General features: G+C 52.9%; 1 protein-coding gene across 2 annotated transcripts in view, besides 11 other annotated features; it reads left to right on the top strand.

Moving 5' to 3' along the window:
• GNG7 (G protein subunit gamma 7) overlaps window positions 1-15,935 on the top strand; it is a 191,476-nt gene that overhangs the window by 146,958 nt on the left and 28,583 nt on the right. For both annotated transcript variants that reach the window (NM_052847.3, XM_047438629.1), the window contains one exon: window positions 549-588. The gene's annotated coding sequence lies outside the window, so the exon portion shown is untranslated. The remainder of the gene's footprint in view (window positions 1-548; window positions 589-15,935) is intronic.
• Window positions 8,032-8,976: an enhancer, noted in NCBI's record as "H3K27ac-H3K4me1 hESC enhancer chr19:2546759-2547703 (GRCh37/hg19 assembly coordinates)". NCBI's record gives its function as "activates a minimal SCP1, AML or CMV promoter by ChIP-STARR-seq in primed H9 embryonic stem cells {active_cell/tissue: H9 hESC(primed)}" and the evidence as "EXISTENCE:reporter gene assay evidence [ECO:0000049][PMID:30033119]".
• Window positions 9,822-9,961: an enhancer, noted in NCBI's record as "active region_13702". NCBI's record gives its function as "activates an Ori minimal core promoter by ATAC-STARR-seq in GM12878 lymphoblastoid cells {active_cell/tissue: GM12878}" and the evidence as "EXISTENCE:reporter gene assay evidence [ECO:0000049][PMID:35858748]".
• Window positions 10,070-10,888: an enhancer, noted in NCBI's record as "H3K27ac-H3K4me1 hESC enhancer chr19:2544847-2545665 (GRCh37/hg19 assembly coordinates)". NCBI's record gives its function as "activates a minimal SCP1, AML or CMV promoter by ChIP-STARR-seq in primed H9 embryonic stem cells {active_cell/tissue: H9 hESC(primed)}" and the evidence as "EXISTENCE:reporter gene assay evidence [ECO:0000049][PMID:30033119]".
• Window positions 10,495-10,544: an enhancer, noted in NCBI's record as "active region_13701". NCBI's record gives its function as "activates an Ori minimal core promoter by ATAC-STARR-seq in GM12878 lymphoblastoid cells {active_cell/tissue: GM12878}" and the evidence as "EXISTENCE:reporter gene assay evidence [ECO:0000049][PMID:35858748]".
• Window positions 10,625-10,674: an enhancer, noted in NCBI's record as "active region_13700". NCBI's record gives its function as "activates an Ori minimal core promoter by ATAC-STARR-seq in GM12878 lymphoblastoid cells {active_cell/tissue: GM12878}" and the evidence as "EXISTENCE:reporter gene assay evidence [ECO:0000049][PMID:35858748]".
• Window positions 10,889-11,708: an enhancer, noted in NCBI's record as "H3K27ac-H3K4me1 hESC enhancer chr19:2544027-2544846 (GRCh37/hg19 assembly coordinates)". NCBI's record gives its function as "activates a minimal SCP1, AML or CMV promoter by ChIP-STARR-seq in primed H9 embryonic stem cells {active_cell/tissue: H9 hESC(primed)}" and the evidence as "EXISTENCE:reporter gene assay evidence [ECO:0000049][PMID:30033119]".
• Window positions 11,435-11,524: a silencer, noted in NCBI's record as "silent region_9802". NCBI's record gives its function as "represses an Ori minimal core promoter by ATAC-STARR-seq in GM12878 lymphoblastoid cells {active_cell/tissue: GM12878}" and the evidence as "EXISTENCE:reporter gene assay evidence [ECO:0000049][PMID:35858748]".
• Window positions 11,709-12,528: an enhancer, noted in NCBI's record as "H3K27ac-H3K4me1 hESC enhancer chr19:2543207-2544026 (GRCh37/hg19 assembly coordinates)". NCBI's record gives its function as "activates a minimal SCP1, AML or CMV promoter by ChIP-STARR-seq in naive and primed H9 embryonic stem cells {active_cell/tissue: H9 hESC(naive and primed)}" and the evidence as "EXISTENCE:reporter gene assay evidence [ECO:0000049][PMID:30033119]".
• Window positions 12,015-12,074: an enhancer, noted in NCBI's record as "active region_13699". NCBI's record gives its function as "activates an Ori minimal core promoter by ATAC-STARR-seq in GM12878 lymphoblastoid cells {active_cell/tissue: GM12878}" and the evidence as "EXISTENCE:reporter gene assay evidence [ECO:0000049][PMID:35858748]".
• Window positions 13,349-14,168: an enhancer, noted in NCBI's record as "H3K27ac-H3K4me1 hESC enhancer chr19:2541567-2542386 (GRCh37/hg19 assembly coordinates)". NCBI's record gives its function as "activates a minimal SCP1, AML or CMV promoter by ChIP-STARR-seq in primed H9 embryonic stem cells {active_cell/tissue: H9 hESC(primed)}" and the evidence as "EXISTENCE:reporter gene assay evidence [ECO:0000049][PMID:30033119]".
• Window positions 14,169-14,988: an enhancer, noted in NCBI's record as "NANOG-H3K27ac-H3K4me1 hESC enhancer chr19:2540747-2541566 (GRCh37/hg19 assembly coordinates)". NCBI's record gives its function as "activates a minimal SCP1, AML or CMV promoter by ChIP-STARR-seq in naive H9 embryonic stem cells {active_cell/tissue: H9 hESC(naive)}" and the evidence as "EXISTENCE:reporter gene assay evidence [ECO:0000049][PMID:30033119]".

Genomic DNA, 15,935 nt, shown 5'->3' with positions numbered 1-15,935 from the left:
ACCTCCTGGCCCTGGGCGGCTCACATGAGACCCCCGGCCTTCCTGCCCCCCGTATACCTGTCACTTCCTCCATTCGGGGTTAATTGGTTTGTCCCCAGTTTCCACTTTCCACCTCTCCCTTTGCCCGGCACGTGGCTTACATAAAAGTAGAAATCAGAGATGGAAAAACACCGAAGTATTCCATGGGAAGGCGCCGTGCCTGGGTATTTTGTTTTTCTTGCACTGGTGTGTCTGATGGACTGGACTTTGACTGTGGGGTTGGGGCTTCCTTGTTCTGAAATGGAATAACACAAGTTTCTGGAAGATAATTTGCCCTGTTGTCCAGCAAGAGAAGCATCCAGGTCTTCTCCGCACGGATCGGTGGTAAAGAATAAAGTGGATTCTGCCCCCGTTTTCTCCGGAGGGCACGGCCCTTTCGAATTCCCATGCCTCATTTTTGGGGACAGCAACGTCGTTCTCCGATAAAAGCTGGAGGTAGCTCTGTGAGTTCCTTGTAAGTAAAAAATATGTAACCATGCTTTTCTCTTTCTCTCTCCTTTTTTAAACAGGGTGTACAGCAAGCTGTGATTCCTGGGAAAACTAAAAAAGGTATGTGGCATTTTCTCTTACTTCATGAGGTTGGAATCTCTTGTTTTTTAGAAAAAGGAACAAACAAGCCCCAGTCTTTTATGTGTGCCTGACACTTTGGGAGGTTGAGTCATCCCATAAAAGGGCTCCGGGCTCAGAGCCAGGAAACCTGAGTTCAAATCCCAGATCCCCTTTTACCAGCTCTGCCCCGTTTGGGTGGGTTCGCGTCAACTGTCTGCAGTGGAGATGACGTTCTCCGTTTTGCAGGAAGGTTGCAAAGATTAAACAAGCATATAGATACAAAAATATAAAAATAGCCAGGTGCAGTGGCTCACGCCTGTAATCCCAGCACTTTGGGAGGCTGAGGCAGGTGGGTCACCTGAGGTCAGGTGTTTGAGACCAGGCTGACCAACACAGCGAAACCCCGTCTCTACCAAAAGTACAAAAATTAGCAGGGCATGGTGGCAGGTGCCTGTAATCCCAGCTACTCTGGAAGCTGAGGCAGGAGAATCGCTTGAACCTGGGAGATGGAGGTTGCAGTGAGCTAAGATCATGCCACCGTACACCAGCCTGGGCAACAGAGTGAGACTCTGTCTCAAAAAAAAAAAAATATATATATATATATAGCATATATATTTTATACACACATATACCTATATATATGTATACACAGTGGCGTGCGCCTGTAGTCCCAGCTACTCAGGAGGCTGAGGCAAGAGGATTGCTTGAACCCAGGAGTTCGGGGTTGCAGTGAGCTATGATTGCACCACTGTACTCCAGCCTAGGTGACAGAGTGAGACCCGGTCTCTTAAAAAATATACCCAGTGTGGTGGCACGTGCCTGTCATCCTAGCATTTTGGGAGGCTGAGGCAGAAGGATCACTTGAGCCCAGGAGGTGGAGGCTACTGTGAGCTGTGATTGTGATTGCACCATGGGACTCCACGCTGGGCAACAGAGTGAGACCAGGTCTCTAAAGAAAAGAAAAAAATATATATATTATATATTATATATAATATATTATAGTTCACTGCTATAATATACTATTATATCATAGCTCACTGCAATCTTGAACTCCTGGGTTCAAGCAATCCCTTTGCCTCAGCCTCCTGAGTAGCTGGGACTATAGGTGCACGCCACTGTGTATACATATATACATATAATATATACATATGTGTAATATATATTACATATAATATATACATATGTGTAATATATATTACATATAATATATTACATACAATATATTACATGCAATATGCACATGTATGTAATATTACATAGAATATGTACATGTATGCAATGTTACATATAATATGTACATGTATGCAATATTACATATAATATGTACATGTATGTGATATATTACACATGATACGTACATGTGTGTGATATAACATTACATGCAATATGTGCATATATGTAATATATTGCATGTAATATGTACATATATGTAATATATTATATGTAATGTGCACATGTGTGTAATATAACATATTACATGTAACGTGTGCATGTATGTAATATAACATATTACATGTAACGTGTGCATGTATGTAGTATGATATATTGCATGTAATATGTGCGTGTATGTGATATGATTTATTACATGTGATATTACATATATGTAATGTGATGTTACATGTAATGTGTACATATATGTAATGAGATGTACATATAAAATATAATATATAGTATATAATATATAACATAATATATTGCATATAATATATAACATATATATTGCATATAAAATGTATATTACATATATATATGTATATATATATATGCTCAGCACCATGCTGGCATGTCAGTATCTAAGAGATGTGAGCTGAACCTGAAACCATCGCTGATCTGTTTCATTCGCGTTTTTCTAGGAATTTGTCCATTTCGTGTAGATTACCTAATTGGATGTCACACACTGGTTCATAATGCTACCGTGTTCTCTGATAATGCCTTTTATTTCCATACAGTTGGTAGTAATGTCCTCCTTTCGTTTCTGCGTGTAGTTATCTGCATCTTATTTCCTCTTTTTTTTTTTTTTTTTGGTTTTGCTTTTGGTCAGCCCCGCTAGAGGTTTGTCAATCACCTAGCTCTTTTCAAAGAACCAACTTTTGGTTTCGTCGACTCGCCAGTTTTTCTCATCTCTGTCTCGTTTATCGCTGCTCTGATCTTTACAATTTCCTTCCTCCTGCTGGCTTGGGGCTGCCTTCGTTCTTCCTTTTCTGGTTCCTTAAGGCAGCAGTCCTCAACCTTTTTGGCCCCAGGGAGTGGATTCGTGGAAGACAGTTTTTCCACAGACAGTGGGGAGGTGGGGGGGGTGGAGCCGGGAGGATGGTTTGGGGACGATTCAAACGCATTACTTTTTTTGTGCACTTTGTTTCTGTTATTATGACATTGTAATATATAATAAAATAATTCCACAACTCACCATAATGTGGGATCACTGGGAGCCCGGAGCTTGTTTCCTGCAACTAGATGGTCCCTGGGCTGGGTGTGGTGGCTCACGCCTATAACCCCAGCATTTTGGGAGGCTGAGGCGGGTGGATCACTTGAGGTCAGGAGTTCGAGACTAGCCTGACCAACAAGATGAAACCTCATCTCTACTAAAAATACAAAAATTAGCCAGGCGTGGTGGTGGGCACCTGTAGTCCCAGCTACTTGGGAGGCTGAGGTAGGAGAATCGCTTGAACCCGGGAGGCGGAGGTTGTAGTGAGCCGAGATCGCACCATTGTACTCCAGCCTCGGCAACAGAGCGAGACTCTGTCTCAATAACAAACAAACAAATAAAAACTAGATGGTCCCATCTGGAGGTGATGGGAGACAGTGACAGATCATCAGGCATTAGATTATTTCTGTTTGCTTGTTTTGAGACAGAGTCTCTCTCTGTTGCCCAGTCTGGAGTGCAGTGGCATGATCTTAGCTTACTGCAAACTCCGCCTCCTGGGTTCAAGCAATTTCCGGCTGATTTTTTGTATTTTTTAGTAGAGATGGGGTTTTATCATGTTGGCCAGTCGAGGCCATTAGGCATTAGATTCTCATAAGGAGCGTGCAACCAAGATCCCTTACATGCACAGTTCACAATTGGGTTCACGCTTCTATGAGAATCTGATGCCACTGCTGATGGGACAGGAGGCGGAGCTCAGGCGGGAATGCAAGCGTTGGGGGGCAGCTGTGAACACACAAGCAGTCAGGCGCCGTGGCTCACGCCTGTAATCCCAGCACTTTGGGAGGTCAAGGTGGGTGGATCGCCTGAGGTCAGAAGCTCGAGACCAGACTGGCCAACATGGCAAAACCCCATCTCTACTGAAAATAAAAAAAATTAGCCGGGCGTGGTGACGCATGCCTGTAATCCCAGCTACTTGGGAGGCTGAGGCAGAAAACTCACTTGAGCCCGGGAGGCAGAGGTTGCAGTGAGCTGAGATCGTGCCGTTGCACTCCAGCCTGGGGGCCAGAGCGAGACTCTGTCTCAAAATATGTGTGTGTATATATATATATTTTTTAAATATATATTTTATTTATAAATATGTATATGTGTTTTTATATATTTATAAATATATATTTGTTTATATATTTATAAATGCATATTTATATATTATAGATAATAGATAAATATATATTAATAAATACATATAAATATATTTTTATATAAATAATAAAAGATTGTATGAAAATATAATTTACCAGCACGGCAGGGCTTTTTGGCGTTCCCTAGATTTTGCCCCCAAGGTGAGTGCCGCATGGCCTCACCCTAGTCCCGGCCCCCACACAAATGACACTCAGGATGACGACGAAGACAGTGATGATTTAAAACCTGGCCGATGGCCGAGGGGTCGCATGTGCCCGTGGTGTCTGGTCTGGATCCTTTTACGTCCTTCTCCATGAATATATTCTCCATGGAGAAGTCCCTGCCCTCTCTCCTGTTTTCTGACCGGGAGACCAGACCTCCTTTGCTGGAGGTCAAACGGCCAGGGTGAGGTCCCTGGAGCCTGCCCTGAGCCCCGTCCTCTGGGACACACAAGTGCTGGCTGATGGCAGCGTGGCTGGACGGCAGGTGGCACGGAGCTGCCTGGGCAAGGCTCAGGTGTCTCCAGGCCGCAAGCTCAAGCTGCCAGCCATGTGGCCACGTGCCGTGGGGATTAGGTCCCTATGCTGCAGCATCTGCTGGGAGGGATGACAAGAGGCTCCAGCAATGACATCAGGCAGCTCTCGTCGGGCCCTGGCTAAGTCCCCTGGCCCTGTTCCCAGCAGCCGGGCCATCCCCACCACTGACGCCTCCCTGATCCTCAGCTCCCCCTACTCAGCGACTCAGCAGATACCTCTCCCGTGCCCCCTGCAGGCCAGGTCCACTGCTCCAATTCCTTTAGTTCTCCTAGGATCCCTGGGGAGCAGGGCTCATTGTCCCCATTTTATAGGTGGGGAAACTGAGGCTCGGCAACCAAAAGATGTGGCAAGGCCCGGGGGCTGGCCAGAGGCAGAGCGGGATTGGAGTCACGAGACTTGCCACAGAGCAGCTGGTGGTCCCTCAGGCTGTGTAGGCCACCTGCTCATCTGCACAAGCCCCTCAGAGCCCAGCAGGGCCATGGTCACTCTCCCTGGGGGACAGTCACAGAAGCTGGGGCTTGGTGAGGAGGTGAGCAGAGGTGGCCGGGAGCGGTGGCTCCTGCCTGTAATCGCAGCACTTTGGGAGGCTGAGGTGGGCGGAGATCACTTGAGGTCAGGAGTTCAAGGCCAGCCTGAACAACATGGTGAAACCGCGACTCTACCAAAAAATAAAAAAATTAGCCGGGCTTGGTGTTGGATGCCTGTAATCCCAGCTACCAGCTACTCAGGAGGCTGAGGCAGGAGAATCGCTTGAACCCGGGAGGCGGAGGTTGCAGTGAGCCGAGATTGCGCCACTGCACTCCAGCCTCGGCGACAGAGCAAGACTCCGTCTCAAAATAAGCCAGCAAGGAGGGTCGCCACGGGGGCTGGATGAGAGAGTGCCTCCCAGCCGCTCCTTCTGCTGCATTCTACCCACTTCCTGTGAGCCAGTCTCAACCCAAACACTCTTTCCCCATCCCACAGGGATTCTGAGAATCAGGGCACCCCAGACCCAAGGCAGCCACATTTCCCTTTTCCACTGAGAGCGGAAAGAGGCCTCGGCACTTCCTGGGGCAGCCCAGGATTTGGCCGTGTTTCTGCATTAGCAAGAAAAGGCGTAATGGAATTTGGATAGACAAGAAAAGGGGATGTAAGCGTGAGCAAAACCACACACTCCATTTCATTGTTAGAAATTCCATGCGTGTCATCAAAACCTCATCTTGGGACAGAGGCCAAGACGAACTCACTGTCACAAGGAACTTTGTGCACAACAAGTGTGCTGGCTCCCCTGTCACCCCCGCCCTCACCCCCGGCCTGCTGGCTGACCCCAGACACAGCAGCCTTGTGTTTCCTCCCTCCTGGTCAGCTGGTGCCTGGTAGCTGCAGCGGTGGTAGCTGCAGTGGTGTCTCTCCAGAAGGTTCTGGGGGAGAGACTGAAATTCCCATGCTTAGCCTTACAATGCCCCGGCCCCGTGCAAACCTCCAGATGAAAACACAGCCCCGGCCAGTGCGGTGGCTCACGTCTGTCATCCCAGCACTTTGGGAGGCCGAGACACGTGGATCACAAGGTCAGGAGTTCAAGACCAGCCTGGCCAAGATAGTGAAACCCCGTCTCTACTAAAAATACAAAAATTAGCCGGGTGCGGTGGCGGGCGCCTGTAATCTCAGCTACTCAGGAGGCTGAGGCAGAGAATTGCTTGAACCCAGGGGGTGGAGTTTGCAGTGAGCCGAGATCCGCCACTGCACTCCAACCTGGGTGACAGAGTGAGACTCCATCTAAAAGAAAAAAAAAAAAACACAGCCCTGTTTAAGCCCTCCGTGCATGTCCTCCTCCACCTCCACCCCCACGGCTGCCATTTTTGCCAAAACGTATATCCTGGACTTGCCTTCTTGCCGTTTGCTGTGTTTGAGCGTCGAGCGTTGAGCCAGACACAGTTGGGTTGGCACAGGAGTCAGGGTTCTCTCCGGGGGTCCTGACAGTTTGCTGCCAAACCTTCATGTCCAGACCTAGTGTCCCCCCTGGGGTCCCTCGGGTTTGCAGTTGCCTTGGCATTGAGGATTCAAGGTGTGTGGCAGGAACAGGGACCCAGGAAACCCTTTGGTGGCCTCAGCCTGCCCAGCTTTGTCACTTGAACCTGTCGGGATGCAAACAACATGCACAGTTCACGAGAAAGCCGCTCCTGGCTGGAACATCCCTTCGACCAGGGTCTCTGGGTATCAGCATCTCTGACATTAGGGTCAGATTATTCTTGAGAGGGGGTTGTCGCTGTTTGTTTGTTTGTTTTGTTGTGTTTTGTTTTTTGAGACAGAGTCTCGCTCTGCACCCAGGCTGGAGTGTAGTGGCACGATCTTGGCTCACTGCGACCTCCGCCACGTGGGTTCAAGCGATTCTTCTGCCTCAGCCTCCCGAGTAGCTGGAATTTCAGACGAGCGCCACCAGGCCCGGCTAATTTTTGTATTTTTAGTAGAGATGGGGTTTCACCACGTTGGCCAGGCTGGTATCGAACTCCTGACCTCAAGTGAGCCACACACCTCAGCCACCCAAAGTGCTGGGATTACAGGTGTGAGCCACTGGGCCTGGCTAGGTTTTTTTTTTTTTTTTTTTTTTCCAGACAGAGCCTCGCTCTGTCGCCCGGGCTGGAGTGCAATGGCGCGATCTCAACCCACTGCAACCTCCGCCTCCCGAGTTCACGGCATTCTCCTGCCTTAGCCTCCCGAGTAGCTGGGATTACAGGCGCCCGCCACCACACCCAGCAAATTTCTTTTGTATTTTAGTAGAGACCAGGTTTCACCACGTTGCCCAGGCTGGTCTCGAACTCCTGAGCTCAGGCAATCCGCCCTCCTCGGCCTCCCAAAGTGCTGGGATTACAGGCGTGAGCCACCATACCTGGTTTTTGTTTTTTGATTTTTGTTTTCCATTGTTAACATGAAAACATCCGTAATGATCCCTAGCCCTCAGGGAGAAGCTCCCTGGGCCTGTAGTTTTCCGGGACTTTCTAACAACACCAGGGCTGGAGTGGGGTGGCCCTGGAGATGTCACACATGATACTGGTGACCTCTAGCCATTCTGATGATGTGACCTGGAGCCCACGGGCCACAGCAGAGAACCCCAGGCTCGAGGTCCATCCTTGGCCATGTGTGTGCCCGGACGGGCCGGCCCCTGCTGCAGAGCCCAGAGGGGTGGGCCTACCAGGCCACGTGTGCCCATGCACAGCAGCAGCACCTGCTATGGATGGAGGTGGGGCAGGCACTTCACATCCGAGGGCTGCCTGGGCCTGGGAGCCTCTGTCCTGGGAAGGAGATCGGCCCTGGGAACAGAGTGGGTTCCAGGAAGTAACACCCTTTGTGAACTCCCTGCACCATGGCCTCCAGCCCCTTCCATCCAAGTGGCATCTTTGGTACCCAGTGTCTGGGATGTGCTGGGGTTGGCAGAACAAAGGCCTCAAAGACATCCATGTCCTAATCCCTGGGAGCTGTGGCTGTGTCACCACACATGGAAAAAGGGACTCTGCAGGTGGGATTGAGTGAAGGACCACCTGAGTCATGAGAGCACCACCGTGGATGATCCGGGGTGGGGGGGCGCAGTGACCTCACAGGATCCTCACGAGAGGAGGCAGGAGGGTGAGAGTCAGAGAGAGACTGAAGAGGCTGTGCTGTGTCTGTGAAGGGGGAGGAAGGGTCCCGAGCCGAGGGATACGGGCACCTCTAGGCGAAAGGCGGGAAAGAGATTCTCCCCTGGAGCCTCCAGGAGGGACCAGCCCTGCCTGTGCCTTGATTTTAAACCAGTGAGGCCCATGTTGGACTCTGAGCCCAGAGCTGTGAGATGAGAAACATGGGTCGTGTGCAGCAGCCACAATGTCACAGGACACAACGAACGTCCAGGGAGCTGCCAGTGTGCGGAGAAGGGGTTTTAGTGCAGCCTGGCTGTGCATAGATGGTTGCAATCAGGGGCTTCTCAGAGGGGATGACATCGGTGGGGCTTTGCAGGATGTGTAGGAGTTTTCTGGGGGGGGGGCATGCGTGGAGAAAGACCCACCTGTGCTGAGGTGGGAAGGCCCGGTACTGCCCTCTGTTCTCTTCCTAACCCTCCTGCCCTTCAGCTCCCGAGCACCACCGTCACGAGGCCGGCGCTGCCCCTTGCCCTGGCCCGGGGCCAGGGTGACAGCATTTCCTCAGCCGGGAAGCCCAGAACTGGAGTGACAGGAGCCACGGGGTTCAGTGTCCTGGCCCGGCCCCGGTTCCCGGGCTTGCAAACTCTCACATGACCGTGGTCATCCCCCGCCCCCGCCGACCCCACCGCCGGGTGGACAGAGAGCAGCTTTTCTTTTCTCCTGCTCCCGTCACCGCGGCGACCAAACCCACACTGGCGGCGCGTCACCCTCTGTCGTCGCGGCCTCTTTGTCTGAACAAGCCGGCTCATTCTTAGGCTCCAAGCTCCGGCTGAAGGCAGCGGCGGGACCTGCCCCGCTGGTCTATTTTTCACTTTCTCGTGGGCACCTCATTCATTCCCTCTCTTTAGCCCCTTCTAAATATAGCTGCCCCGGGGACCGATTTAGCCTGAGAGCAAAGGGCCCACACTGACAGGGACAGTCACAAGGCACTATTTTCCAGCCAGTGCGGCCCTCCCTTCCATGTGGCAGAGGCCCTCCCGCCCGCAGCCCTGGGCCCCACGGCCCTGCCTTGAGGTCACAGAGCCACCAACGGTCAGAGCTGGCACGGAAGGCCCCACACACAGCCGCCCTCCCAGGCCCTGCTGGGCGACCTGGCCCTGGAGAGGCTGCAGGTGCAGGGTGGGTGCCCACGCTGGGTGCAGGGTCTCTGCATGCAGACCCTGGTTGCTGAGGGGGCCCTGGGGTTCTGTGGAGCGGGCAGCAGGTGTGGCCAGTCTCAGACCTGTCTCTTGTATTGAAGTTTCCATTTCAGTCGGGCTCCCCGGGCTCTGCGTGGGTCCCCTCTTTGGCGTCCTGGTGAGAACATGGCAGGCCGTGGGGGGCCTGCATCCCAGCTGCCAGGGGACACATCAACGCCTGATCGTTGCCCTGTGCCTTCTCACCCTGATGCCCTGTGTCCGCTCTGGAAGCTGTGTGCACCTTTCTTTTTCGTTTGTTTGTTTTGTTTTGTTTTGTTTTGTTTTTGAGGCAGAGTCTCGCTCCGTTGCCCAGGCTGGAGTGCAGTGGCGCGATTTTGGCTCACCGCAACCTTTACCTCCCGGGTTCAAGCAATTCTCCTGCCTCAGACTCCTGAGTAGTGGCATTACAGGTGCCCACCACCACTCACGGCTAATTTTTTTGTATTTTTAGTAGAGAGGGGGTTTCACCGTGTTGGCCAGGCTGGTCTCAAACTCCTGATCTCAGGTGATCCACCCACCTCAGCCTCCCAAAGTGCTGGTATTACAGGCATGAGCCACTGCACCTGGCCTTTTTTTTTTTTTTTTTTTTTTAAGACAGTTTCGCTCTTGTTGCTTAGGCTGGAGTATAGTGGCGCAATCTTGGCTCACTGCAACCTCTGCCTCCCAGGTTCAGGCAATTCTCCTGCCTCAGCCTCCTGAGTAGCTGGGATTACAGGCATGCGCTACCATGCCCAGCTAATTTTGATTTTTTTTTTAGTAGAGATGGGGTTTCACTATGTTGACCAGGCTGGTCTCGAACCCCTGACGTCAAGTGATCCGCCCGCCTCGGTCTCCCAAAGTGCTGGAAATACAGGCATAAGCCACCGTGCCCGGCCTATGTGTGCACCTTTCTGCAGAGTCTAAACCAGGGTCCCCTAGGCACTGTAGACATGGCGGCCAGATTGTTCTCTGAGGTGGGCCTGTCCTGGGCACTGCAGGGTGCTGAGCAGTATCCCTGGCCTCCACCCACTCCATGCCAGGAGCACCCCCCAGTTACGACAACCACAGATGTCGCCAGACAGCGCCCAGGGTCCCCTGGGGGACGGAATTACCTCTAGGTGAAACCCCCAGGGATAGGGGATTCCACGGACCCCCAAGAGACTCTGCGTCCCATGATCCTCTGCTGTGCTGAGGTCCCAGGAGGCTGCACACAATGAAATCCACACCGAGCTGGGAGGGAGAGAGGAGGTGAATCCCAGGAGTTGGGGGTCCCCCTGGTTCACACCATCCATCCCGTTGGGAGCTTATTCTAGTGTGGGTAGGGATTGAACCCCATTTTCCCCAAATAATTAACTCAGGGTCTTCTCCCTCAGCACTGTGGACAGTGGGGTAAGATCCTTCTCTGGGGTGAGGCTGTGCTGGGCACTTACGGTTGCTGAGCAGCGCCCCTGGCCTCCACCCACTCCATGCCAGGAGCTCCCCCAACCCCGACAACCACAGATGTCTCAGGCATCGCCCAGGGTTTCCTGGCGGGGCTGAATCACCCACCCCCCCAATTAAGAGCCACTGTTGGCCCAGCACGGTGGCTCATGCCTAAAATCCCAGCACTTTGAGAGGCCAAGGTGGGCAGATCACCTGAGGTCAGGAGTTTGAGACCAACCTGGCCAACATGGTGAAACCCCATCTCTACTAAAAATGCAAAAATTAGCTGGGCGTGGTGGGGGTGGGGGGCGCCTATAACCCCAGCTACTCAGGAGGCTGAGGCAGGAGAATCTCCTGAACCCGGGAGGCGGAGGTTGCAGTGAGCCGAGATCGCGCCACTGCACACTGTCCTCAGGGGCTTCTGTGAGATGCACTGAGGTCCTCATGGCTCCCGGGGGTGCTCATGGCTGAGGCCCTCGTGCCCACAGCAGGCGTGCAGATGTGCACATTGACGCAGGTGCCCAGGGACACAGCTCTCTGCAAACCCAGCTGCCCCAGCCACTGTACGAAGGCGACTTGTTCCTCACAGTGCCTCGGAGCCTTCTCTTCTCTCCCAAACTACTGTTCCATTTTGTTTGGGTTTGGATCTTTTCCTCTCTAAACATAACACCCTGTCTCTCTTGTCTCTGAACACTGTGTTCTCAGAAGCAGTCATCCCTCCACGGGGAAGGGCTGACGTTTCCACTCCAAGCATTGTCTCCCCTCCTGCCAAATCTGGTTGCTGGTTTTGTTGCTTGGGGTTTATTTTTCTTTCCTTTTTCGAGGCAGGCAGAGGTTTGGAGGGGTGAGAGGTGGGGGATTGCCAGACCCCCAGGAGGAAAGAGTCCAGGAGCTCTGCGAGCTATAAAGCTACTGGTTCTGGAAGTTTTAGAGCCAGATGAAGGTTGCTTCTGTTCTCACGTTGCTGCTGCAGGCCGGCCGCCCCTCCCGCCTTCAAGGCCACCTTCCCCCGGGGCTGACTCACCCCGGCACGCCGCGCCACACAAGGCTGGCTCTGCTTTGATGAGCAGACTGGAAAAGCGCAGCCGCCTCATTGTGGAGCTGCCTGGAAGCCGCCAGAGCCCGCTCTGAGCTGGAATTCGCTGAGCCTGACTTCCTGTGCCGTCAGGAGAGCAAACGCCCGCTGGCCTTAGGAGCCGGTTTACAGGAAGCAGCCATGGGAGGACGGTTTGCTCGGCTCATGGAGAAGCAGCCACCCTCTGCACGGGTTTTAATGCTGCACCCTCATCTCAGGGCTGTGAAAAGAAAAATTGCAGGCCGGGAGCGGGGGTTCATGCCCGGGATCCTAGCACTTTGGGAGGCCGAAGCAGAGGGATTGCTTGAGCCCAGGAGTTTGAGACTGGCCTGAGCAATACGGTGAGGCCCCAGCTCTAAAAGAAAAAATATTAAAAATTAGCCGGGCATGGTGGTGCACACCTGTAGTCCCAGCTACTCAGAAGGCTGAGGTGGGAGGATCTCTGGAGGCCAGGAGGTCAAGGCTGCAGTGAGCTGTGATTGCACCACTGCACTCCAGCCTGGGTGACAGAGCAAGACCCTGTGTCAAAAAAAAAAAAAAAAAGGAGGCCAGGCACGGCGTCTCATACATGGAATCCCAGGACTTTGGGAGGCCAAGGCAGGTGGATCACTTGAGATCAGGAGTTTGAGACCAGCCTGGCCAACATGGTGAAACCCTGTCTCTACAAAAAAATAAAAATAAAAAATAAGCCTGGTGTGGTGGTGGATGCCTGTAATCCCAGCTACTCGGGAGACTGAGGCAGGAGAATCACTTGAACCTGGGAGGCGGAGGTTGCAGGGAGCCGAGATGGCGTCATTGCACTCCAGCCTGGGTGACAGAGCGAGACTCTGCCTCAAAAACAAAACAAAACAAAACAAAAACCACCAAAAAAAAAAAAAAAAAAGGAAAACAGCAGAGATGATGTGTGCAGCATGCTCAGTCCAGCGTCTAACACCTAGCAGCAGCAGATGGCAAATAAGAGCTGAAGCTGTCCTGGGCTGTGGGACCCCATGCCTGCTCACCGGGGGGCCCTCCAGCCTGGAGACCCCAACCAGTCCCATCCTGGCCTTGCGTATCAGCTCCTTACACTGCATAAGAAACTACTGCATATGTGGTGGCTTAGAGCAACACGCCTGCCTGAGCTTACAGTTCTGGAGGTCATGGTGCAATGACGTCCTCTGCCCAGGGTCTCCCAGGCTGAAACTGAAACGTGAGCCGCCTGCTGTCTGACGCGAAGCTTCCAGTTGTCGTCCCCAGCTCATTCAGGTTCTTCCTGAATTCACTTCCTTGCAGTCGTAGGGCGCAGTCCCCCTTTCCTTGCTGGCTGTCAGTAATAAACATTCAGTGCACAAATGAAAAAACCCACCCCAGGCCAGGCGCGGTGACTCGCACCTGTAATCCCAGCACTTTGGGAGGCCGCGGTGGGTGGATTGCTTGAGGCCAGGAGTTCAAGACCAGCCTGGGCAACATGGTGAAACCCCGTCTCGACTAAAAAATACAAAAGTTAGCTGGATGTGGTTGTGAGCGCCTGTAATCGCAGTTACTCGGGAGGCTGAGGCAGGAGAATCACTTGAACCTGGGAGGCGGAGGTTGCGGTGAGCCGAGATCACGCCATTGCACTCCAGCCTGGGTGACAGAGCAAGACTCCATCTCAAAAAAAAAAAAAAAAAAAAAAAAAGAACACACAGCGCTGCCTCCCATGAGCCTAGCCAAGGCCCGACTGTGCACCTGCCACAGGGAGCTCTTTGGAAGGGCCGCCCTGCAGCCAGCCCCAGACAGGAGGCCCAGCAGCACTGGGTACAGAAGCACCATTTCTTCCCATCTCAGCCCTCGGCCCTGATCAGCCTTTCTTATTTTATTTTTATTTTCTTGAGACAGAGTCTCACTTTGTCCCCCAGTCTGGAGTGCAATGGTGAAACCCTAGCTCACTGCAACCTCAAACTCCTGGCCTCAAGCCATCCTCCCGCCTCAGCCTCCCGGAGTAGCTGAGACTACAGGCTTGTGCGACCACACCCAGCTTACCTTTTAATTTTTTTTTTTTTTTTTGATGGAGTCTTGCTGTGTCGCCCAGGCTAGAGTGCAGTGGCGTGATCTCGGCTCACTGCAACCTCCGCCTCCCAGGTTCAAGCGATTCTCCTGCCTCAGCCTCCTGAGTAGCTGGGATTACAGGTGCCCACCACCATGCCAGGCTAATTTTTTTGTTTTTTGTATTTTTAGTAGAGACGGGGTTTCACCATCTTGGCCAGGCTGGTCTCGAACTCCTGACCTCGTGATCCACCCACCTCGGCCTCCCAACCTGCTGGGATTACAGGCGTGAGCCACTGCCCCCGGCCTTGATTTTTTTACTTAGAGGCAGGGTCTCGCTGTATTGCCCAGGCTGGAGTGCAGTGGTGCCATCCCAGCTCACTGCACCCTCATTATGTTCTCCTGAAATTCGGCTTCGCTTCCCCAAGAACATTTATTTTTATTTTTTTATTTTAGAGACAGGGTCTCACTGTGTTGCCCCAGGCTGGCTTTGAACTCCTGGCCTCAAGCAATTCTCCTGACTCAGCCTCCCAAAGTGCTGGGATTACAGGCACGAGCCACCGCACCCAACCTGATCAGCCTCTTTTAACAGGGTCTGGGGGACTCAGGACCTTCCCTGCCGATGGAGGAACCCTCGGTAGCTCCCGCTCCCTCGCCTCTCTGGCCGCCAGGCCCAGGAGCCGCTCGGTAAAGTCCCTGTCTCTGCCAGGCCGGGTGCATTCTTGACATTCCTGTCCTTTTACGCAGGCCGCCCCGGCCAGCTCTCAGAAGCCTCCACCGGCTGCATGCTCTCTCCCTGCTGGTGAGAAGATGGCCCTGGCGGCGGCGGCTCCTGGTCGGTTTATCGAGCCGGGAGTGGCACTTTCCCAACTATGAGAACTATGCTTGGAATTCAGAGCCACCGCCAGCCTCTCTGGGTCTCGCTGTCACGGCTTCCTGTGCAGCTGGAAAACACCTCCAAGAGTGGCCGTGGCATCACAGACCTAAAAAAGGAGCTGGGTTTGCTCCGGCAGGTCTCCCCGGGAGGAGGGAAGCCAGTCTGTCCCGCTGCCCGGCGGGCCTCGCTGTCTGCTCGGCAGAGACAGGCCAGGCAGGTTTGGACTTCTCGGGATGCTCCAGCCTCAGCGCCCCCAGGGTCCCCGCAAAATCTCCAACCACCCCAGGCCTGCTGTCTGCTTCTTGGCTTTACAGCCCAGGACACCTGGATTCAGCCCACCCACCCCCGAGCAGGGGCCCACGCACCCACCCTCTGCACAGGCTGGGCACGCCGTCGGGCTAAGGGTCCCGGCAAGAATCAGTCTTAGAGCACAGGCCGAGTGTGGAGGCTCCGTCTGTAATCCCAGCACTTTGGGAGGCTGAGGCAGGAGGATCACCGGAGGCCAGGAGATCAAAACCAGCCTGGACAACATAGTGAGACCCCCATCTCTACAAAAAATTAAAAAATTAGGGGGGCATGGTGGTGTGTGCCTGTGGTCCCAGCTACTTGGGAGGCTGGGGCAGGAGAACGGCTTAGGCCCAGGAGTTCAAGTTTTCAGTGAGGTGGGATCACACTACTGTACTCTAGCCTGGGCAACAGAGTAAGACCCCTTCTCAGAGAAGAAAAAGAAAGAAAGAGAGAGAGAGACGGAAGGAAGGAAGGAGAAAAGAAAAGAAAGAAATTGAGAAAGAAACAGAGAGAGAGAGAGAGGGAGGGAGGAGGGAAGGAAGGGAGGGAGGGAGGGAGGGAGAGCCAGAGAGAAAGAGAAAGAAAGAAGAAAGAAAAAAGGAAGGAAAGAGAGAGAGAAGGAGGGAGGGAGGAAGGAAGGAAGGCAGGAAGGAGAGGGAGAGAGAAGAAAGAAAGAGAAAGAGGGAGGGAGGGAAGGAGGAAGGAAGGAAGGAGAGGGAGAGAGAAAGAAGAAGGGAGGGAGGCAGGAAGGAGAAAGGAGAGGTGTGAGTTCCTGCGATGGTGTGTATTTAGAA

The sequence above is a fragment of the Homo sapiens genome, chromosome 19 (genome assembly GCF_000001405.40).
Source record: "Homo sapiens chromosome 19, GRCh38.p14 Primary Assembly".
Lineage (NCBI taxonomy): Eukaryota > Metazoa > Chordata > Mammalia > Primates > Hominidae > Homo > Homo sapiens.
The sequence above is the reverse complement of the archived record's forward strand: the minus strand, read 5'-3'. Positions and strand labels throughout refer to the sequence as shown.